General features: G+C 46.6%; 2 protein-coding genes across 16 annotated transcripts in view, besides 2 other annotated features; both read right to left on the reverse strand.

Moving 5' to 3' along the window:
- The window catches only part of USP54 (ubiquitin specific peptidase 54), a 128444-nt gene extending 120460 nt beyond the window's left edge, over positions 1-7984 (reverse strand). For 13 of the 15 annotated variants that reach the window (NM_001391951.1, NM_001391942.1, NM_001391947.1 and 10 more), the window contains exon 1: positions 7940-7984. The gene's annotated coding sequence lies outside the window, so the exon portion shown is untranslated. Of the gene's footprint in view, positions 1-7569; positions 7645-7939 lie in introns of those variants that run through there. The other 2 variants (NM_001391953.1, NM_001391954.1) reach the window with 1 other exon arrangement.
- Positions 7692-7941: a silencer, noted in NCBI's record as "silent region_2486". NCBI's record gives its function as "represses an Ori minimal core promoter by ATAC-STARR-seq in GM12878 lymphoblastoid cells {active_cell/tissue: GM12878}" and the evidence as "EXISTENCE:reporter gene assay evidence [ECO:0000049][PMID:35858748]".
- Positions 8112-8221: an enhancer, noted in NCBI's record as "active region_3565". NCBI's record gives its function as "activates an Ori minimal core promoter by ATAC-STARR-seq in GM12878 lymphoblastoid cells {active_cell/tissue: GM12878}" and the evidence as "EXISTENCE:reporter gene assay evidence [ECO:0000049][PMID:35858748]".
- MYOZ1 (myozenin 1) lies at positions 13615-23477 on the reverse strand. The gene is made up of 6 exons (NM_021245.4): positions 23414-23477; positions 21948-22038; positions 19747-19925; positions 16487-16736; positions 15903-16068; positions 13615-14164 (listed from the first exon to the last, which is right to left on the reverse strand). Exons 2-6 carry the CDS (start codon positions 22018-22020, stop codon positions 13933-13935), a joined length of 900 nt encoding a protein of 299 aa, NP_067068.1. The 5' UTR covers positions 22021-22038; positions 23414-23477; the 3' UTR covers positions 13615-13932.

Below are 23879 nucleotides of genomic sequence, written 5' to 3' on the forward strand. Positions count from 1 at the left end.
GTCAGGAGTTCGAGACCAGCCTGGCCGACATGGTGAAACCCCATCTCTACTAAAAATACAAAAATTAGCCGAGCTTGGTGGCAGGTGCCTGTAATCCCAGCTACTCGAGAGGCTGAGGCAGGAAAATTGCTTGAACCCGGGAGGCGGAGGTTGCAGTGAACCGAGATTGCGCCACTGCACTCCAGCCTGGGTGACACAGCAAGACTCCATCTCAAAACATTAATAAATAAAAATAAATAAAATGAGATCACTTGTCTTCTCTTTTTAGCAGCAGGGTCTCACTCTCACTCTGACGTGTAGTCAGACTGAGGCTGGAGTGTAGTGGCATGATTTAGCTGACTGCAACCTCAAACACCTGGGCTCAAGGGATCTTCCTGCCTCAGCCTCCCAAGTAGCCAGGACTATAGGCGCATGCTGCCAGACCCAGCTAATTTTTTAAAATTTTTGGTAAAAAATTAGCTGGGGCCGGGCACAGGGGCTCACGCCTGTAATCCCAGCACTTTGGGAGGATGAGGCGGGGTGGATCACCTAAGGTCAGGAGTTCAAGACCAGCCTGGCCAACATGGTGAAACCCCCTCTCTACTAAAAGTACAAAAATTAGCTGGGCATGGGGCTCACGCCTGCAATCCCAACTACTTGGGAGGCTGAGGAAGGAGAATCGCTTGACCCAGGAGGCAGAGGTTGCAGTGAGCTGCGATTGCGCCACTGCACTCCAGCCTGGGTCACAGAGCGAGACTCCATCTCAAAAAAAAAAAAAAAAAAAAATTAGCCGGGCGTGGTAGCTGGTGCCTGTAATCTCAGCTACTCAGGAGGCTGAGGCAGGAGAATTGCTTGAACCTGGGAGCACAGGTTGCAGTGAACTGAGATTATGCCACTGCACTCTAGCCTGGGCAACAGAGCGAGACTCCATCTCAAAAAAAATTTTTTTGGTAGAGGCCAGGCAGGTGGCTTACACCTGTAATCCCTGCACTTTGGGAGACCGAGGCAGGCAGATCACCTGAGGTCAGGAGTTCGAGACCAGCCTAGCCAACGTGGTGAAACCCTGTCTCTACTAAAAATACAAAAATTAGCTAAGTATGGTGGGGCGTGCCTGTAGTCCCAGCTACTCGGGAGGCTGAAGCATGGGAATCACTTGAACCCAGGAGGTGAAGGTTGCATTCCAGCCTGGGCGATGGAGCAAGACTTGTCTCAAAAAAAGCAAAACAAAACAAACAACAAAACTGCATGTATTTCTTTTTTCTTTTTTTTGAGACAGAGTGTCTGTTAGTTACTCAGCCTGGAGCGCAGTAGTGGAATCATGGCTCACTACAGCCTCAACTTCCCAGGCTCAAGTGATCCTCTTGCCTCAGCCTCCTACGTAGCTGGGGTTACAGGTGCATGCCACCAAATCCTGGCTAAATTTTTCACTTTTTTTTGTAGAGACAGGGTTTCTACATTTTGCCATACCCAGGATGGTCTTGAACTTGTGGGCTCAAGCAATCCACCCACCTTGAGCCTTCCACTCTAGCCTGGGCGACAGAGCGAGACTCCATCTCAAAAAAAAAAAAAAAGAAAGAAAAAAGAAAGTTCTCTAGGGAGAACTGCTGGGATTATAGGCGTGAGCCACCACACCCAGCCTAATATGTATTATAACGCAGTTGTATTCCTCCACTTTTTTCTAAATCAGAGAAGCGTTTATTAAATGGCCCAGCAGTGCAACTGAAGACAAAAAAATTAAACAGTAATATAGCAAACCAAAAATAGGAAGCACCTAAATAAAACACCTGAATTACTTATCCTTAGTACAAGTAGGAAGTATAAGTACAGTTTAAGGTAAACAAGTAATCAGTTTGTATTCTGTCATCTATCAGTAAATAGCCTCTTGACAAAACTGGTTTCCCAAAATTAGCTGAGGGCATCTATAACTCTACAGTAATTATTAAATATAACTTGGCAATGTGGTAGAGTACAAGGAACAGTTAACTGGAAACCAGGACATCTGGGACATTGCAGCTGTGTGACTTTGGGTAAGTCATTTAAAAGTTCTCTAGGCTTGCCGGGCACAGTGGGTCACACCTGTAATCCCAGCACTTTGGGAGGCCAAGGTGGGCAGATCACTTGAGGTCAGGAGTTCCAGACGAGCCTGACCAATATGGTGAAACTCTGTCTCTACTGAAAATACAATAATTAGCTGGGCGTGGTGGCGGGCGCCTGTAGTCCCAGCTACTCAGGAGGCTGAGACAGGAGAATTGCTTGAACCTGGGAGGCGGAGGTTGTAGTGAGCCGAGATTGTGCCACTGCACTCTAGCCTGGGCGACAGAGCGAGACTCCATCTCAAAAAAAAAAAAGAAAGAAAGAAAAAAGAAAGTTCTCTAGGCTTTAGTTTCCTCAATATAAAATGAATAGAATGGACTGGTTGACCGCTAAGCATTCTAGTAAGTCTAGAACTGATTATCAATACTTCATTAATGGTATTTATCATTCTCACTTAGGTTTCTGGGGATTCTTTTTTTTTTTTTTTTTCTCAGTAGAAATAGGGTCTCACTCTGTTGGCCAGGCTGGTCTTGAACTCCTGGCCTCAAGCAATCCTCCTGCCTTAGCCTCCCAAAGTGCTGGGATTACAGACATAATCTCACGTAGATTTTTAAAGAAGCCATTTACAAAGATATAAAATTTGGGGGCCGGGAGTGGTGGCTCACGCCTGTAATCCCAGCACTTTGGGAGGCCAAAGCGGGTCAATCATCTGAGGTCAGGACTTCAAGACCAGCCTGCCCAACATGGTGAAACCCTGTCTCTACCAAAAATACAAAAAATTATCTGGGTGTGGTGGCGGGCACCTGTAATCCCAGCTACTCCGGAGGCTGAGGCCAAGAGCAAAACTCTGTCTCAAACAAACAGGTCGGATGCGGTGGCTCACCACTGTAATCCCAGCACTTTGGGAGGCTGAGGCGGGTGGATCGCCCAAGGTCAGGAGTTGGAGACCACCCTGGCCAACATGGCGAAACCCCGTCTCTACTAAAAATACAAAAATTAGCTGAGCTCGGTGGCACGTGCCTGTAATCCCAGCTACTCAGGAGGCTGAGGCAGGAGAATCGCTTGAACCTGGTAAGCAGAGGTTGCAATGAGCCAAGATTGTGCCACTGCACTCCGGCCTGGGTGACAGAGCAAGACTCTGTCTCAAAAAACAAACAAATAATACAAAGATGTAAAATTTGAATTTCAACCAGAAAACCGTACTTTGGACTTTGGAATATAGAGTGAAAAAAAAAACCTGAAAGCAAATATATAAAAACATGTGACACATACATACATTTTTCTCAATATAAAAAAACTACAGTATGAAGGCGGGGCACAGTGGCTCACGCCTGTAATCCCAGCACGTTGGGAGGCCGAGACGGGAAGATCACAAGGTCAGGAGATCAAGACCATCCTGGCTAATATAATGAAACCCTGTCTCTACTAAAAATACAAAAAATAGCCGGGCATGGTGGCGGGCACCTGTAATCCCAGCTACTCAGGAGGCTGAGGCAGAAGAATGGCATGAACCCAGGAGGCGGAGCTTGCAGTGAGCCAAGATTGCGCCACTGTACTCCAGCCTGGGCGACACAGGGACACTCCGTCTCAAAAAAAAAAAAAAAAAAAACTACTGTATGAAAATATGTTTGACTAAATGCCTTAAAGTCTGTTGTAATAACATTTCCCCTATATATGAATACAGATAACCATTTCCACTACTAAAATGATCACTTGCTGGAAGCTTACAAATATATAATTGCTTGCTACAACTATTTTCCCAAGCATAGCTCCCTATACAATTATACACAGCAGAAATTTGGTAATTTACTCAATTCTCTATATAACAATACAAATTTTGTATTTAGCACCATGCTAACATTCACATTAGTTCCCCATAGGTAGTGTAAATATCTGAGGGAGAAAATGTATGAGTAAAAAAACAGATACCCCTATCCATTTATACCTTCCAAGTCCCACCCAGAATTCTGGTGTCCTGGCCAGTTCCACCTGCAACCTCTCCCCACTTCCTCCATACCAAGACTCCCTCCTTCCCTACAAAAGAAAGAAATCTTTCTTAGTATATTAGAATCACATAAATTTCCCACACCAATCTCTATTCTACCATCTACTAGCTCAATAATCTTTGGTAACTTCCTGAACTTTTTAAGCCTTGGTTTTCTTTAAAGTAACTAGTACCAGCTGCAGAGCAGAGTGTTGTTATAAGATAAAATGAGATAATGTGCCTGGCACATTAATAATCACTCAATGAATGTTATCTATTATTATTATTGCCTTAAGACTGTTGTAATATTTATTTATTTATTTATTTATTTATTTATTTATTTATTTTGAGACAGAATCTTGCCTGTTGCCTAGGTTGGAGTATAGTGGCATGATTTCGGTTCACTGTAACCTCCGCTTCCTGGGTTCAAGCGATTCTCCTGCCTCAGCCTCCCGAGTGGCTGGAATTACTGGCAGGCATCACCATGCCCAGCTAATTTTTGTATTTTTAGTAGAGATGGGGTTTCACCATGTTGGCCAGGCTGATCTCAAACTCCTGACCTCAACTGATCCGCCCACCTCAGCCTCCCAAAGTGCTGTGATGACAGGCCTGAGCTACCGTGCCTGGTCCGTATTTATTTACATCTACAGTAAAGGAGTACTAAAAAAGACTAATAGGACCAGCGAGGTGGCTCACGCCTATAATCCCAGCATTTTGGGAGGCTGAGGTGGGAGGATCACTTGAGCCCAGGTGCTTGAGATCAGCATGGGCAACATAGGGAGATCCTGTCTCTAGAAAAAGTACAAAAATTAGCCAAGCACCTGTAGTCCCAGCTCCTGGAGAGGCTGAAAAGCAAGAGGATTCCTTAAACCCAGGAGACTGAGGCTGCAGTGAGCCGTGATTACTCCACTGCACTCCAGCCTGGGCAACAGACAACTCGTCTTTAAAGAAAAAAAAAAAAAAGGGCTTAAATTATGAACTGACCAGTGAATTTTCTCCTCAAACTTCCATTCTTTTATCTCTTCTGAGAAACTTACTATGTGTTTCACTAAGGCAGCACAGTTTAGTTTGGTTAACACTTTGTAATTTTGAAAACTCTTAGGCTGGGCATGGTGGCTCAAGCCTGTAATCCCAGCGCTTTGGGAAGCCAAGCTGCCAAGGCAGGAGGATTGCTGGGTAACATAGCCAGACCAGCTTAGGCAACATAGCAAGACCTCGTCTCTACAAAAAAAATTTTAATAATTAACTGCGCGTGGTTGCATGCACCTGTGGTCCTATCTACTCAGGAGGCTGAGGTGGGAGGAAAGCTTGGGCCCAGGAGGTTGAGGTGGCAGTGAGCTGTGATGACACCACTGCATTCCAGCCTGGGCAACAGAGCAAAACCCTGTCTCAAAAAAAGAGAAAAGAAAATTCTTACTTTGGGAGGCTGAGGCAGGAGTATCACTTGAGCCCAGGAGTTTGAGACCAGCCTGGCAACATAGCAAGACCCCATCTCTAAAAATAAATCAGCTGGGCATGGTGGCCCTCACCTGTAGTCTCAGCTCTGTTCAGGAGACAGAGGTACAAGGATGGCTGGAGCCCAGGAGGTTGAAGTTGCAGTGAGCCATGATCTTGCCACTGCACTCCAGCCTAAGTAACACAGTGAGACCCTGTTGCAAAACAAACAAACAAACAAATTCTTTGTCCTGTCAACTACTATATAAACTCTTCAGGGGCAGAACCTTGTCTCATACTTTCATGTTCATATATTGTGCTTATTACATTGTAAGTATTTTTTTCTCTATCAGTCTGCCCTCACAGGGTCTGAGCAATTCCAAGGCAAAGATCGAGTTCTACCTGTATTTGTATCCTGAAGGCTTAGCAATCAGACACAAAATAGGTCTCAATAAATATTAAGTGGCTAAATGAATTAATCTTTTTTCACTGCAATGCCTTACACAGTACTTTACACATAACAGGAGTTCAGTAGAGCTTGTTATTGGATTCATGCAGAAATCTTTTGGACTCAACCACCACACAAAGCTTTATCTTGCATCAGAAAAGCACTTCTACTTTAATGTTTAGCTGCTGACATTACAAATTAGGTTTTACTCTAACATATATCAAATAAATGGGTTCAGTGACTAACCACATTAAGACCAGCTGAAGAAGGATTTTTAAAAGCCATATATATATATATATATATATATATATATATATATGTATTTTTTTTTTTTTTTTTGAGACGGAGTCTCGCTCTGTCGCCCAGACTGGAGTGCAATGGTGCGATCTCGGCTTACTGCAACCTTCCCCTCCGGGGTTCAAGCGATTCTCCTGCCTCAGCTTTCCGAGTAGCTGGGATTGCAGGCGCGCGCCACCAGGCCCGGCTAATTTTTATATTTTTTTAGTAGAGACGGGGGGGGGGGGTTTCACCATGTTAGCCAGGCTGGTCTCGAACTCCTCACCTCAAGCAGTCTGCCCGCCTCGGTCTCCCAAAGTGCTGGAATTACAGGCGTGAGTCACCGCGCCCAGCCAAAAAGCCATTATTCTAATTAATGCATTTGTGAACCTCAACATAAAAAAATCCAGTTATATAATCACAAGAGAGTTATCCCTTTCAAATGTATACCTACAAAAGATAGAAAAATGATCAGAAAACTTGTATCTGTCGATTGAAATAAATTATTTTTATGCCTGACTTGAAGCCATTGTTTTCACTACAAATAACAGTTAACCAGCAAAGTGGTCCACACCTGTTTCCAGAAAACAGTCCTTAAGACTCAAAGACTAGATGTTTTCCCCTCTGTGATTTTTAACTCCTGAGAGACATCTTTTATTTCAACATTGAGACATTCAAAACATGTTCTGTCTCCTAAAATAAAATCTCATTCATTTCTTAAAAGGCAAATAGCTTGATAAGCACACTTTAGGAACACCAGGTTTTACATCCAAATAACTAAAACTATCCCTAGATTTAGTGTTCAGCCTGCTGCTGCAATTAAAAAAAAATTGTTTTTTAAGTTACATTTGCGGAAGGTTTAAGTGTCGTATTGCACATTTTTTCACCATACCATCTAACCTGACTACCTTCCAGGTATTTCATAAGCACACCGTAAAGAAATTGTACACTTGAATGAGTCTGGGAAGAAACGTAAGCTTAGCACACACCCCCTTCTTCCAACTCAATACGCTTCAGAGGAAGCAACCTTAGTGTTTTTTTCTTCTCAAGAATCGCTCTCTCCCGCCCCCCTACCCTGCGCTTTATTTTAGAGTAGCAATCATTCATTATCCTACTCGTAGTTTCTCAGCGAAAAGAACCTTCCCAACTAATACTAGTTCACCAGGACTCTCCGTTCGCATCTCAAGAGTGTCCGTGGGGTATCTCTCCGGAAAGAGGGAAAGGAGGCGGCGACGATCTGGGACGCCACCATTCCCGCCACGGCCATTTAGGACCCAGGTCCCGGCGCGCGGTCCCCGACTAGCCTCAGGCAGAGCCGGGGGATCTGTAAAGGTCTGATCCCTTCTCCTCCCTCCACCCCTCTAACCAGTGAAAAGCAAACTGGGCCCAGCGTCTGTGCTCTCATTCAACATACCCTCCTCGTCGCTGTACCCCATTTCTTCCCACTTCTTTCCCAATGTAGCCTGGTCCCTTTATCCAGTTCCGAGTCTCCGTAAACACCCTGCTCCCAACACACACACCCCTCCACGCTCCAGCCCGCGCCCCCTGAACCCCATTACACCCGGGTCCCTCCCCCTGGACCTCCCAGCAGCTCTAGTCCTCCCCGCGTGCCCTAGAGCAGACCGGCGCCGCGTCCCTGTACCCACAGGACCCAGGTCCTGCCCCACACGTCACACTCAGGTCCATTCCTCCCGCGACCTAACCTTCCCCGCACCCCCTCCCCAGGCGCTACCCCCTGCACCCCGTTACCCCCGGCCCCGCCCCCCTGAGGGTGTCGCACTCACAGCTCCTGGCGCCGCATACTTAACCGCCGCGGCTGCTATAGCTACAGGGAGCCAAGGCAACCAGCTCTCGCGACACTTTCCTTGGCCATGGCGAGAGCACACGAGAAGAGACTCTCGCAAGAAAGTAAATGAGTCAGGCTGGAAACAGCGAAGTATATCTCGCGATAGCACTGTTTAAAATGGCGGCTTCAAGGCGTTTCACGGGTGTCCCGGACAGGCGTGGAGGTGGGGCGCAGGCGAGGATGAAGCTTGAGTTGGCCAGGAGTCGGAAAACGATTGCAGGCGGGACCGCGTCCGTCGGGGCTGAGGAAACTTAGCGTGGCAGACCCTAAACTGGGATAACTTTAGGGATATGGCCTTCTTTTCCCAGTTGCCTCAAACTTAGAGCAGCGTCGTCTTTAGCCGAAGATTCATTTTCCCAGCATTTTCCTTCTCCAGGCGGAGTAGTTGGAGACAGAGGGCAAGCCAGAAACTGACCTTCCCATCTCCTCATTCCCTTCCATCAAGAACTTTTCATCGTTCTTTCCCCACCCTGGTTTGTAAATGGTATTTGGCTTCATAAAAACGTTTGTCCACAGGTGCCCTGCTCCATCAGTTCGCTCCAGCAATATAGGAAGTTACCAAAAAAAAAATTTTTTTTTATTGACCTTGGATGCAGAAAGGAACCGCGTTGGTGTGTGATTTGAATTTTGGACTTCTTGTTTCCTGCCTTGTGGCCACGTCCCCCTTACTTGGTGACTCTCAGCACTTAGTTGTGGGGCTTTTTCTCTCTGCTCTCAGACAACTATAAAAGCAGACTAATTGAACAGCATCTAGAACAGAAGGTGGATGTAAAGAACATTGGTCGGCCGGGCGCTGTGGCTCACGCCTGTAATCCCAGCACTTGAGAGGCCGAGGCGGGCAGATCACGAGGTCAGGAGATCGAGACCATCCTGACCAACATTGTGAAACCCCGTCTCTACTAAAAATACAAAAATTAGCTGGGCGTGGTGGCGTGTGCCTGTAATCCCAGCTACTCGGGAGGCTGAGGCAGGAGAATTGCTTGAACCAGGGAGTTGGAGGCTGCAGTGAGCCAAGATCACACCACTGCACTCCAGCCTGGCGACAGAGCGAGACTTCGTCTCAAAAAAGAAAAAAAAAAAATGAGCCGGGCATAGTGGCACGCGTCTGTAGTCCCAGCAACTCGGGAGGATAAAGTGGGAGAATCCCTTGAGCTGGGAGGTGGAGGTTGCAGTGAGCTATGATCACACCACTGCACTCCATCAAACAGAGCCAGACTCTGCCTCAAGAAAGAGTGTGAGAGAGATCAAAATATCATTTCAACATATAACCAATGTTATTAACAAGATAACTTACATTCTTTCTTTCGTACTAAGTTTTCAAAATTTGGTGTTTATACTTGGAGCACATCTCATTAAGGACTGGGAGCATTTAAAGAGCTCAAGAGCCACATGCAACTAGTGACGAGAGTATCGGACAGCGCAGTCCTAGACTCTAGAGTAATGAATGAGCTCTCTAGATGTCCGGGGGGTGGTATCATGGGTGTGTGGTGTATGTAAAAGAAACTCTTGAAATTGCTAACTCAAATGGCTGCAGAGGCTAGGCAAGTAACAATAAAAGATGACCTGACATAGGGACTAGGACCCACTGGAGACTACAAACTCCTATCTAAAAGAGCCACTTTTCCTGAGTTTTAAAACACAGTGATGCCAAACAAGATGTCTGTGAGTAGGACACACAGCTAACTCTGCGGCCAATATACTGCCTCAGTGAACCGTGGTATTCAAATGTATGAAACACAAGGATTTTTTGTTGTTTTTTATTTTTTTTGAGACAGGGTCTCTCTAGTCATCCATGATCTCGGCTCACTACAACTTCCACCTCTCCCACTCAAGCGATCCTCCCACCTCACCTCCCAAGTAGCAGGGACTGCAGACACCTACCACTACACCTGGCTAATTCTTGTAGAAAGGGTATTTTAACAGAAGAATAGTAACTAGGCAAAGGGATGGCAAACCTTGAAAACCTGACCACATTTCTTTCTGGGTCCTGTACAAGTGTGTGCACTTTAAGCCATCATTGCAATTTAGGATTATAATTTGACTTCTAAGTAGAGTTTCCTACTGAGGAGATAATTTTACAGCCAACCTGGGCTCCCTATAAATTAATAAGCTGATATCATGATTTTTATTATAGTTAAAATTTTAGACATTCTGAGCTTGAAAAAATTATTTCCAGGTTTTCAAAGCTGTTCACTAGCAGACTCCAGACATTTTTTTCTCCAAATTTAAGAGAAGGCATATACATATATATATATATATATATACACACACACACACACATATATATATACACACATATATATATTTTTTTGTTTTGTTTTGTTTTTTTTCTGTTTTTTGTTTTTTGTTTTTTTGAGACAAGGTCTCACTCACACCCAGGCTGGAGTTCGGTGGCATGATCTCGGCTCAATACAACCTCCACCTCTCAGTTTCAAGTGATTCTTTTGCCTCAGCCTCCAAAGTAGCTGGGATTACAGTCACGTGCCACTGTGCCCGACTAATTTTTTTGCATTTTTAGTAGAGACACGGTTTCGACATGTTGGCCAGGCTGGTCTCGAATTTCTGGCTTCAAGTGACCCGCCCACGTTGGCCTTCCAAAGTGCTGGGATTAGGAGTGTGAGCCAGCACACCTGGCCTACAAGAAGGCATTTAATTATTTTATGGTTGACTGTGAAAGCTCTTTGTCACAGGAAAGTTATTTGTCTTTGTACTGCTTTTGCCTGATACAGTACCTGGTATACAGAAGGCACATAATAAACATTTGTTAAAGGAATATAGTCCTTAAAACTTTTGAGGGGCTCACAGACTTAAAACCCGAGAATCTGATGAAGGCTAAGGCTTATTCAGATCTTAACTGTGCCCTATCCATATTCCCTCAAACTACCCCAGAGTTCACCTCAACTTTGGTAGACAGATCTTGTACAGGCCCAGAACTTCTTACCTCAAACACCTGAGTAACTCTATCTGGAAGTGCTAGCAGAGTTAACATTATGAGAGACAATCTACAATCAATGAGAGATGGGATTTGGTAGCTAAATATTCCAGTTCCTCATCCCCTTAGTGGAGCCATTCTGAAGCATATTCTACTGTAATGTTTCTCAAAATTTTCTAGCATATGATAATCACCTGGAGAGATGAATATGACACAGATTCCAGCCAGGCTCAGTGGCTTACACCTGTAATCGCAGCACTTTGGAAGGTTGAGGCGGAAGGATCACTTGAGCCCAGGAGTTCGAGACCAGCCTGGGCAATATGGTGAGACTTTGTGAGCATGGTGGCACACATCTGTGGTCCCAGCTACCTCAGAGGCTGAGGTGGGAGGATCACTTGAGCTTGGGAGGTTGAGGCTACAGTGAGCCAAGATTGCGTCACTGTGCATCAGCCTGAGTGACAGAGGAAGAGTCTGTCTCCAAAAAAAAAAAGAAAAACGATAGAGATTCTTGGGCCCAAGAGTTTGCATTCTAACCAAGCTCCTAGGAATACTGATGCTGCTGCCAATCCATGGACCACATTTTGTTTTTTTGTTTTTTTTTTTTTGTTTTTTTGTTTTTTTGAGATGGAGTTTCACTCTTCTTGCTCAGGCTGGATTGCAATGGCGCGATCTCGGGTCACTGCAACCTCCACCTCCCGGGTTCAAGTGATTCTCCTGCCTCAGCCTCCCAAGTACAAGTAGGTGGGATTATAGGCATGTGCCACCACACCCGGCTAATTTTGTACTTTTCGTAGAGATGGGGTTTCGCCATGCTGGTCAGGCTGGTCTCGAACTCCTGACCTCAGGCGATCCGCCCACCTCAGCCTCCCAAAGTTCTGGGATTACAGGCGTGAGCCACCGCACCCAGCCTAGACCACGTTTTGAGTAGCATTGTTTCTAAGACTCCCCAGTGGGATTCAGCCCCAATAGCTCAAAGGGACTTTTGGCTTTCCTCTCACTCCCTTATACTGTTTGGATTTCTTGGGATCATATCCCAAATGAACTGGTCTTGCATCCAAATCTTTCTTTCAGGGTCTGTTTAGGGTGGGTGGGAGAATACAAACTATGACAACCCTCTCCTTAGGAAAAAGTACAGAGGGGCAGGTGTGGTGGCTCACGCTTGTAAGCCCAGCGCTTTTAGGAGGCTGAGGTGGGTGGATCACAAGGTCAAGAGGTCAAGACCAGCCTGGCCAACATGGTGAAACCCCGTCTCTACTAAAAATACAAAAAATTAGATGGGCATGGTGATGGGTGCCTGCAATCCCAGCTACTCGGGAGGCTGGAGCAGGAGAATCGCTTGAACCCAGGAGGCAGAGACTGCAGTAAGCCGAGACGCGCCACTGCACTCCAGCCTGGGTGACAGAGCGAGACTCCATTTAAAAAAAAAAAAAAAAGGAAAAGGTACAAAGTTTTGTATACACGTTTAAAGGAGGTAGGCCAGGCACGGTGGCTCCGCCTGTAATCCTAGCACTTTGAGAGGCCGAGGCAGGCAGATTGCTTGAGCTCAGGAGTTCAGGACCAGCCTGGGCAACATGGCAAAACCCCATCTCTACAAAAAAATACAGAAAATTAGCCAGGCGTGGTGGCGAGCTCCTGTAGTGCCACCTACTTGGGGGTCTGAAGTGGGAGGATCACTTGCACCTGAGAGGTGGAGACCGCAGTGAGCTAAGATTGCACCACTTCACTGCACTCCAGTCTGGGCGACAGAGTGAGACCCTATCTCAAAAAAAAAAAAAAATGCTTAGAGGGGGTATGAATTCTCTGGAATTTGCTCATTAGATTATAAGTGAAGATGACCAGGGTAAATGCCATTTGACCCAAGGTGCACTAAAATATGATCCATCTAATGCAGATTCTGGCAAACTTAATCTAACCATTAGCAGCTCATGGAGTTGACTGAATTCAGCCAGCTCTCCTTAGAAGTTATTTTCTCAGATCTTATTGCCATCTTTTCATTCTTTCTGATCTGCATTAGTCTTACTTTGTGGAACATGGCAGTAGGCCTGGGACTCTTAGAGAGTCCCCATCCTTGTAATGAGCAAAAAGAATATTGTTGCGCATTCCTATCGGGCTCTTAAGATTTCTTCCCAACCATACTGCTTTCTAGGTACCACTGTAGTGCCCTTGTAACCCTTAGATCTTTTCTTGCTGTGTTCAACACAGAGCCTGGCATACTATAACTGTAGCTGGTTTCTCCCATTTCCTTCTGGATTCCACATGGCCCCCTATTCTATTTCATCCTTTTGGGAATGTGTAATCTTTGACACTTATATTCCTAAACCCACTTTGGTATAATCTGGAAACTTTATGGCATGCTCTAGTCTGTGACAATCAGGATAACCCTGATTATACCAGCTTCTAATCAACTACATAAAGCGGGTGAACACCAGGGTCACCAACACCCATTTCCCAACTGCGGTGCACAGCAGCTTTTTAGCTTTGCCAACATTTGGGCCGGCACATGTGTTTGTGCGTGATTATTTGTCTCATGTACTATTGAATAAACGTCTTTGTAAGTAACTATGAATGTGGTTTTGTGCGTATGGGTGTAGGTGTGTAAGCAACTGGAGCTCAGATCTGTCTTAAAGTTTGCATAATTAATGTTTAGTATTTGGCTTTAATTAGTCTCTGTGCATTGTTAGCCTCGGCTTTCATCTGCTCTCAAATATCAAAGGAAGAATGAGTTCATTTTCCTTGAAGTTTATTGACTGTTACTGGTGGCAGAGCAAATTCCATAAACGAGCAGGTTCCATATGGAGCAAGTAGAAGGGGAGCTCTGAGTTGGTGAGGAAGGATGCGTGGAGTGGGGACTTGGAGTAAAGGATGGAAAGGTAGATCTCTCCTTTTTCCCTCCATTCCCATAAGGATACTGGATTAACAATGGGGGCTATCTGCTCAGCATTCCCTCTCCAAATTGGAGCCAGAGAGGGGAAATGATGCAAATCAGAGGAGGAAACACCTCACAGCTCCTCTGTTTCTCCATCCAAGGGGATGCCAATATCCACGTTGTAGTCTACAGGCTCCCCAGAGCTCAGCCAGGGAATAGGGGTTCGATTGAAAGAAGGCCTGTTGGAGAGGTTTTGGTTGTAGAGGACCAGGGGTTCACTCAGCAAGGGCCCCAGGTCAAACTTGGGCATCTGGAAGGTCATGCGTTTGGAGGCCTTCTCATATCCACCATAGGGCATTGCCGTCCTGAGAAGGGGACACATTATTTAATTAAGAATCAGAATAAAAGAAACAGAGCCTTATCATGAGATGCTACCCTCTTTGAGAATAGGGAAGTCTGTGAATTCTAGTTTGGGATTGCATCTGTACTCCTTCTTCTTCCTTAGCATCCCATTTTGCCTTCCTGGTTAGCTTGTTTCCCCAAAGCTAATAATGAGAAAAGGAGTCTAGTGTGTACTAGAGACTCTTGGATAGCTGTGACCCAGACCAGCATTTCAGAGAAAGTGACCCCAAATACTATAGACCCAAGGGCCTGAGGTCACCTTACATGACAATGTAGAAAGGCCAGGTGCGGTGCGGTGGCTCACGCCTGTAATCCCAGCATTTTGGGAGGCCAAGGTGGGTGGATCACTTGAGACCAGGAGTTTGAGACTAGCCTGGTCAACGTGGTGAAACGCCATCTCTACTAAAAATACAAACACCCCCCCCCCAAAAAAAAATTAGCTGGGCATGGTGGCGCACCCCTGTCATCCCAGCTACTCAGGTGGCTGAGGTATAGGAATTGCTTGAACCCAGGAGGTGGAGGTTGCAGTGAGCCGAGACTGCACCACTGCACTTCAGCCTGGGCAACAGAGCAAGACTCTGTCTCAAAAAAAAAAAAAAAAATTGCAATATAGAGACCCCCTCTCTCCAACCCTAGTGGACAGTGGATAGCCTGGCTAAGAGTAATTATTGTTGCCTGGAAAATCCAGGCTCCTTAGGACCAAATACAAGAGTACCTTTCTAGCTCTTCCCTATCCTTTCACACAGACCTCCTCTCCATGGGCTAGAGAAGCCTAATTCCAAAAGAACAGAGACTTAGAGCCATCTAAAGCAGGGTGGCCAGGCATGGTGGCTCACGCCTGTAATCCCAGCACTTTGGGAGCCCGAGGCGGGCAGATCACCTGAGGTCAGGAGTTTGAGACCAGCCTGGTCAACATGGTGAAACCCCATCTCTACTAAAAATACAAAAATTAGCTGGGCGTGGTGGCGGGTGCCTATAATGCCAGCTACTAGGGAGGCTGAGGCAGGAAAATCACTTGAACCCAGGAGGCGGAGGTTGCAGTGAGCTGAGATCATGCCACTGCACTCCAGCCTGGGCAACAAGAGCAAAACTGAGTCAAAGAAAAAGAAGGAAAGAAAGAAAAGAAAAAAGTATAAGGAAATAGAATCATATTACAGGGAGAATAATGGCATCCTAACCTTGAATGGAAGAGAGCCTCAAGAGGCCTTCAGACATGTAAAATGTTATTCGCATTTAACATTCAAAGCAGGCCGGGCACGGTGGCTCACCCCTGTAATCCCAGGTCTCAGGTAGGCAGAGGCGGGAGGATAGCTTGAGCCCAGGAGTTCGAGACCTGCCTGGGCGATATAGCGAGACCCCATTCTCCACAAAAAGGAAGCAAAAAAAAGACAAAAAATAAATAAGTGTAACGTTCAAAGCAACCCAGGCTCAGAGGTAGAGTGATTTTCCCATGCCTACACAGCTAATAAATGACCATTGAGCTAGAATTCAAATCCTGCCTCCCAGCAAATTTTTTCCTTCATCACACTGCTATGATGAAGCTGAGATAGAGTGAAAAGAGCAGGGCCTTTGATTAGGACCCCCATATCCCTGCCATCTCTCCTTAGCCTCCTTCTGAAACATTTGAATTAGTCTCCATCCTAACTAAAGACACAGTGCCTCACACTAGAATGCATCTGGTTCCTTCCTCACCACCCCTACCTGTTGAAGGACTTATATTTGGGAAGTTCAGCTTTGGCCCCATAGGCCAGCAGGTCAATGCCAAGTTCCATTTTTTGCTGGGGGTCAACCCCCATGGCTCGCTCCCATGGGGAAATATAGGTCTTGAACACAGTGATATGTTTTCCTTCTCCGCCTGCCTGGTCTCCTGGTAGCCATGGGAGAGAAAATTCAGTCAAATAATAGCATTTAGTAGCCAATGAAAGGTAATCCCACGCCCCTACACTAGGGAAATTGCAAGAGCCAGGGACTAAAGATATAATATCCTGGTAATTGTATAAGGTTTGTGGCATAATGATAGTCTGTGGGCAGATCTGTGACTGAATCCGAAAAGCCAGGAAAGTAACTGAAAAACAAGGCTTCTGGGTAGAATAGACACATCTCTATATACTCCTGGACCCAGGTAATTCACCAAGATATTTATGATATTTAAACTGATATTATTATATTTAATATTAAGATATTTAAACTGACCTCCTCTGCTCCCCACACTCAGCGTAGACATCATTCCTGGGACAACTCTGCTCTAGGGACCAAACACATTACTCTTGGGTGAGTGTACTTGCCTGATCCTGTCTCACCAACCCCTGCTGTGCCAGCAGCTCCTCCTCTGCCAGCCTGGCCCGCGGGACCACCTGTACCCCCAGCTCCAGACCCAGAGCCCAGATGGTGCTGCTGATCAGAGCCATACTGTCCGGCAGAGCCACTGCCCCCTGCCTGGCTGCCGCCTCTGCCGTTGCTCTTGCTGTATGAGAATCCCTGACCAGCTGTGCCCAGCTGTCCCCCCACTGTTGGAAGGAACTTCTGGAAGTGATCCTGAAAAGAAGACAAAGTGAGGGGAAGGTTAGCAATGGGTATGGAAAATATACAAAAACAGAGGTATGTTTAGCAAAGGCAGAAATAGTGGCTAACCAGAAGACCCTGAATTTTCTGATATTTCCCCCTCCAGTTGATGGGTAGTACATGGGCTGACTAAGAGAATTAAACTCTTCTTTTTGTTTGTTTGATTTTTTGTGGTTTTTTTTAGACAGAGTTTCGCCCTTGTTGCCCAGGCTGGAGTGTGATGGCACGATCTCGGCTCACCGCAACCTCAGCCTTCCAGGTTCAAGCAATTCCCAGCCTCAGCCTCCCGAGTAGCTGGGATTACAGGCATGCACCATCACACCCGGCTAATTTGATATATTTTTAGTAGAGGTGGGGTTTCTGCACGTTGGTCCGGCTGGTCTCAAACTCCGACCTCAGATGATCCACCCACCTCGGCCTCCCAAAGTGCCGGGATTACAGGCGTTAGCCACCGCACCCAGCCCGAATTAAACTCTTCTTAAGAGGTAGGACTCCCTTGGCTCGTTTCCTCCAGTTATACCTAGGGTAAGGGCAGCGTGTTCTCCACACTCCCCTTTCTCATCCTTAACAAGTCAAAAAAGACCAACACGCCTGCCCAGCTTTAAAAAAAAAAAATGAAAAAAAATTCTTTTGCTTTTTGAGACAGAATCTGGCTCTGTCACCCAGGTTGGAGTGCAGTGACACAATCTCGGCTCACTGCAACCTCCACCTCCCTGGCTCAGGCAATCCTCCCACCTCAGCCTCTCAAGTAGCTGGGACTACTGGCATGCTACCACACCCAGCTAAATTTTGTATTTTTTTTTTTCCTAGAGACAGGGTTTGCCATGTGCCCAGGCTGGTCTCAAACTCCTGGGCTCAAGTGATCCATCTGCCTCAGCCTCCCAAAGTGCTGAGATAACAGGCATGAGCTGTGTCCAGCCCCAACTAAAATTTGGGAGGATGGGGTTGCCATGGAGCACCCAGTCTTAATTACAAGGACTAGAGAAATTCTGCCCCCTCCCTTCCTCAGCTTGTCCAACAGTCAGAACTCTCTTCTCTCTCCTTCTTTCTCTTCCTCTCTCCTCTTGGTGCCTGTTGGACCTCACTGGTGACAGTGACACTGTAGCAGGTGGGGGGAAGTGTGGCCAAAAGGGCAACATTAGATGCAAACCCAAAGCCTAAAAATAACCCCACCAACTTCTTCAGGAGGCTCTCCTGGCCATCCCACCATGTACACCCCAATGCTCCACCCAGTGTAACCAGACCCAGGCAGAGAAGAGTGCTTTTGGCCTCCTAAAGTTAGATATGAGCAGCTCAGCACTTTTACTCTGCTCCTATATGAGGACCAATGACAGACACTTCTGCCCCCGGCCCCATGCAGGCATCTATTTCCACTCTCCCCCAGCCACTCAGAGAGGGTGGAGGAGGAAGAAAGGAAATGGAGAAGGCCCTTCTTCCTCAGCTATACCATCCTGTGCCTGGCCCCTCTCCAGTCTCCTCTTTCTTTGGAGAAGGAGCCTGACTAGAATATATCTTGAAGGACCGTTTCAGTCTCCACACCTGGGGCTTCTTAGGGAATAGACTGACCCTTTAAATGGAAGAATGGCTCAAATGGGAGGTGGCTGTAAAAACTCAATTAACTCTTTCTAGGGTTGCCAGATTTAGCAAATCAAATATAGGATACCACTTAAATTTGAATTTCAGATGCACAACAAATTTTTATTTTTTTTTTTTAGATGGGTTCTCTGTCACCCAGGCTGGAGTGCAGTGGTGTGAACATGGCTCATGTTCATGCATCCTCTACCTTCCAGGCTCAAGCCATCCTCCCACCTCACCCTCCAGAGTAGCTGGGATTACAGGTGTGCGCCACCAGACCCAGCTAACTTTTTAATTTTTTGTAGAAACAGAGTCTTGCCATGTTGCCCAGGCTGGTCTCCAACTCCTGGACTCAAGCAGTCCTCTTGCCTTGGCATCCCAAAGTGCTGGGATTACAGGTGTGAGCTACCACACTTGACCCAAATACTTTTTTAGTATAGATATGCCTCCAAATATTGCTTGGGACTTACTTATACTAAAAAAATTATTCATTTGCATCTGAAATTCAAATTTAAGTGGACATCCTGTATTTTTATTTTAATGTCCCAAATATTGCATGGGACATATTTAAAAAAGAATTCATTGTGCATCTGAAACTCAAATTTAATTGTATATTCTGTATTTTAAAATTTCAATTTTATTCTTTGCCTTATCTTCTTCCTTTTTTCTTTTTTCTTTCTTTTTTTTTTTTTTTTGAGACAGAGTTTCACTCTTGTTGCCCAGGCTGGAGTGCAGTGGCACAATCTGGGCTCACTGCAACTCCACCTCCTGGGTTCAAGTGATTCTCCTGCCTCAGCCTCCTGAGTACCTGGGATCACAGGAACCCACGACCACGCCCAGCTAATTTTTTGTATTTTTAGTAGAGATGGGGGTTTCACCATGTTGGCCAGGCTGGTCTCAAACTCCTGACCTCAGGTGACCCACCTGCCTCGGCCTCCCAAAGTGCTGGGATTACAGGTGTGAGCCACCATGCCTGGCTGCCTTATCTTCTTTCTAAAATTTTTTTAAATTTTTATCTTTATGTCCCAAATATTGCATGGAGCATACTTCACTAAAAAATTATTCATTGTGTATCTCAACTTCAAAATACAAGACTGGACTGCCCCACTGGGCATCCTGTGTTTTATCTGGCAATCTATCTTTAACACTTACCTTTACTGGGAAGGAATTTTCTCCCTAAGGGTGTGGTATTCTCCAACCCTTCAGTGGCTCTATGATGAAAACTGGGTTTCAGAGGTGGGCTGTAACTCACCCTGGAGCTGTTGCGGGCTCAATATATCTGGGGGTTTAACAAATTTATAAATTTTCAGGGAGGGGATGTTGACTGCATTTTGGAGGTTCAGGGCCTACTAACAAGCTGTCAGAACAGGCACCAGGCTTTGAGATAGTGATAAAGTTCCAGACTCACCATTGAGCTGTCAGAGAAAACATCAGGGTGGTTCTCATAAATAAACTTCTCCACCCTCATCTGCCGCAGTTTGAACATCTTGGAGCCCCGGTTGGTAAGCAGCGACAGTTCCTCCAACATCACATCCCTTGGGACACTGATCTTTTTGCCCAGGTTCAAGCCTGAGCTCTCCTGTCCACCTTTCAGGGAGGCAAAGAAGAAGAATCAAGGGAAAGAGGAAAGTAGGGTTTTCTGGGCTCAGAATGCAGACCTCATCCACAACTAAGTGTGTATGTGTGTCCTGGCAGAGGTCATTTAGGGGAACAAATGCTGTCTAGTTTGTGAGGGATTTTGATTTCCTGGGACTTGGAGAGAATGCATGGGAACTGGGGTGCACTGTGGAGATAATGGGAATACTAGAGTGGAGAGGCCAATGGGGTAAAAGAGGTACGGGCATGGGGTACAGAGCAAAAGGAGTAAAGGAACATCATAGATGGAGGCCATTGGAGAAACCATGGCATCAGGAAAAACCCAGAGGCCAATCTTGTGTGGAGTCCAAATACAGATGCCATATATATATATATATATATATTTGTTTTTATTTTTTATTCTTTTTTTTCATTTTTTTGAGACAGAGTCCTGCTCTATCATCCAGGCTGGAGTGGAATGGCGCGATCTCAGCTCACTGCAGCCTCCGCCTCCCAGGTTCAAGCAATTCTCCTGCCTCAGCCTCCCAGGTCGCTGGGATTGCAGGCCTGCACCACCATCCCTGGCTGATTTTTATATTTTTTGGTAGGGATGGGGTTTCACCATGTTGGCCAGGCTGGTCGCAAACTCCTGAGCTCAACTGACCTACCAGCCACGGCCTCCCAAAATGCTGGGATGACAGGCGTGAGCCGTGGCGCCCAGCCTACATTTTATTTATTTATTTATTTATTTATTTATTTATTTATTTATTTATTGAGTCAGAGACTTGCTCTGTCTCCCAGGCTGAAGTGCAATGGCGCGATTGCAGCTCACTGCAACCTCCATCTCCTGGGTTCAAGTGATTCTCCTCCCTCAGTCTCCCAAGTAGCCGGGATTACAGGCACCCGGCACCATGCCCAGTTAATTTTTCTATTTTTGTAGAGACAGGGTTTCACCATGTTGGCCGGGCTGGTCTTGAACTTCTGACCTCAGATGATTGGCCCACCTCAGCCTCCCAAAGTGCTGGGATTACAGGCATGAGCCACCACGCCTGGACTTTTTTTTTTTTTTTTTTTTTAATGGAAATGAGGTCTCATTATGTTGTCCAGGCTGGTCTTGAACTCCTGGGCTCAAGTGGTCCTCTCACCTCAGCCTCCCAAAGTGCTGCGATTACAGGTATGAGACACAGCCCCAGCCCTATTTGTATTATTTATTTTGAGACAAAATAAATATATCTTAGGATGAACTCTGTCACCCAGGCTGGAGGGTAGCGTCGCAATCATGGCTCACGGCAGCCTCCACCTCCCGGGTTCAAGCGATCGTCCCACCTCAGCCTCTGGAGTAGCTGGGACTCTAGGCACATGCCACTACACCTGGCTAATTTTTGTACTTTTTGTAGAGACGAGGTTTTACCATGTGCCTAGGCCAGTCTCAAACCCCTGAGTTCAAGCGATCCACCAGCCTTGGCCTCCCAAAGTTCTGGGATTACAGGCGTGAGCCACTGCACCTGGCCCAGACTTCTGTCTTAACTACTTTCCCTTTTCTTTCCCTCAGTGAGCTCTGGCTCCAAAGAGTCTCTAGGTATTGAAGAGCTCTTCACATGCATGCACCCCTGCCCACCCCCAGGAAACATGCCTGTGCAGTTTTCCATTTTAAGTACTTACACAAGCTCCCTAGCTCTGGGGAAAGAAGTAAGGGAAATTAACCACTTATTGAGACCTGAGTCTGTGCCAGTCTCCATTATATTTTCTTCCTCAAATATACCTCACTGACTCATGGGTCCTGTGGTCCTGGACCTGTGCAGGTAACATGGCAGGGTATTGTCTCAGATTATGAAGTGAAAAGGGTAGAAGGTGTTGAATCTTTTCTCTCTTTCTCCTTACCCTTCTTAATCTTCCCTCTCCCACTCCCCATCACCCGCCTTCCCACCACTTAATTTCTCTTGTTTGTTCACCCTAAGATATATATTTCTGGGACTCTTGGTTTAGGGATGCTCTTAAGAAGTCCCACACTAGGGAGATGCAAACATGTCCTACCTCCAGTGAGTTCCATGATCAGCTTGCTGGATTTCCTCTTCTTATTAGGGGCCGGGGTTCCTGAGAGCGGCATTGTGGAGGTGGATTCAGCCTGGACAGGGTGGGAAGGAGGAGTTGGTGGATGGACAGGGACTGGGAAGAGTGAGTGTCTGTAGGAGAGCAGCACTTCTTAACCTGGGTTTAAGGGCTTGAGGGGACAAAAAAATTTTTTTTTCTTTTTTAGAGACAGGATCTCACTCTGTCGCCCAGGCTGGAGTGCAATGGCACAATCATGCCTCACTGCAGCCTCAACCTCCCTGGGCTCAGGTGATCCTCCAACTTCAGCCTCCCAAGTAGCTGGGACTATAGGTGCGCACCACCGTGCCTGGCTAATTTTTGTATTTTTTGTAGAAATGTGGTTTTGCCATGTTGCCCAGGCTGGTCTCAAACTCCTGGGCTCAAGCAGTCCTCCTGCCTCCCAAAGTGCTGAGATTACAGGGGTGAGCCACTTCACCTGACCCAGATTTTCAAAGAAGCATGTATTTCCCCAAAAGGTGAAAACTTGCGCTTTAGGGCTTCTCTTTTCTTGGGATACAGGACAGGAAGTATAGATGCACACCAGCCCCTGTTGTCTACCAACCTGTTGTGAGCTGTTTTTCATAGAGTCAGTGCAGGAATTAGGAACATAGCTAGGTGTGGGGAGTGTTTAAAAAACAATAACACAAGCAGGGCAATGCACCCAGGTTTCATTGGCTTGGCATGATTTGAAGTTTTTATTTGCACTGGGATATCAGACTGGGGCTGTGATTCCAGGCTCTGGTCTCTCCTCAGTCTTCCCCCAGTCCCCAGGAGGACAGAGAAATATTCTGCCAGGGTTGAGGAGATTCAGCCAAAAACACTCTCCATAGGAAGGAGAGGTTGTTGCTCCTTCATCAGGCCAGCTGGAACATGGCCTGGGAAGTCATGGCCCTGCTCCTGCAATCACTCCCGCCACAGACCCCAGAGTGGAGGCAGGTGTGGAACTGGGAAGGGTAGGGAGCATTCAAATCCCGACACGTCAATTCAGCAATATCATAGCAGTGGGGAATTGAGGTGGGGCAGAAACATAGTAATAGGATCTGGCAATGGAAAGGGACAAACTGGGATAAGATGGACTCCAATCCCTTCTTAAGAGAAGTTGGCACTCAGTGAAATGCTGTCCTCTTCTAAGTCCTGTCTCAAAAAATACATCTGCAACTCTACTGACTTAGTGGGGTCTCCCTTCCCATTCTTCCAGTGCCTCCCCCGACATCTCCATTCCCCCCAACCTCCTGGGCCCCTCTCCTTCCAACTCTCCTTCCCCTCTCCTTCCAACTGGACAGCTGGGAGCTGAGCATAGATGAGGAGAGGGGAGACTCCCCCAGGATCAAGAATCACAATTGTAGACACAGACACAGAAGTCAACACAGTGGGCTCCAGCCTTTCTAACGATAGAGCTGGAGACTTACCGGCTGCTCGGGCAGTGGTCAGCTCTCCCTGGGGTCCAGCAGCTTTGGAGGACTGAGCTGCTGTGACCGGAGAACACGAGCTGGGCAGGCGTGGGGGCAGCACTGGCAGTGGGGGAGGGAAGTTGGTTATTAATAGAGATGATGAGCGCAAGCAGCTCAAATGGCACAGGGGGTACTGAGACCCTGGAACCAAGATCCCTCCCTCCTTGCCCGGAGGCTCAGGAAGGAGGGAAAAGGCCTTTGGGATTCTCCCACTGAACTGTCTGAGCCAGGGATCAGTCTGCCCAGGGACTCCCCTTCACATTGCACCTAGAGCCTGAGATCCAAAGAAGCACTTAGGGAGAAACTGAAGACTGAGAGGGAGACAGGAAGTAGACAGCAAGTATTGGATAGGAATTCAGTCAGAGAGAGAGAGTCTGGGGAACATGCCCTGAGGGCCACACAGAGCCAATCCAGGGCAGAGTGG

Source organism: Homo sapiens, chromosome 10, assembly GCF_000001405.40.
Source record: "Homo sapiens chromosome 10, GRCh38.p14 Primary Assembly".
Taxonomy (NCBI): domain Eukaryota; kingdom Metazoa; phylum Chordata; class Mammalia; order Primates; family Hominidae; genus Homo; species Homo sapiens.

Bases quoted from the DNA above. Each gene is read 5' to 3' on its own strand.
- MYOZ1 (NM_021245.4), bottom strand. From the start codon at position 22,020: ATGCCGCTCTCAGGAACCCCGGCCCCTAATAAGAAGAGGAAATCCAGC. The intron at 16,737-19,746 runs GTGAGTCTGGAA...TCTTCTTTTCAG, and splicing joins TTTTCTCTGACAGCTCAATG to GATCACTTCCAGAAGTTCCT. The intron at 14,165-15,902 runs GTAGGGGTGGTG...TCCCCTTCTCAG, and splicing joins AAATATAAGTCCTTCAACAG to GACGGCAATGCCCTATGGTG.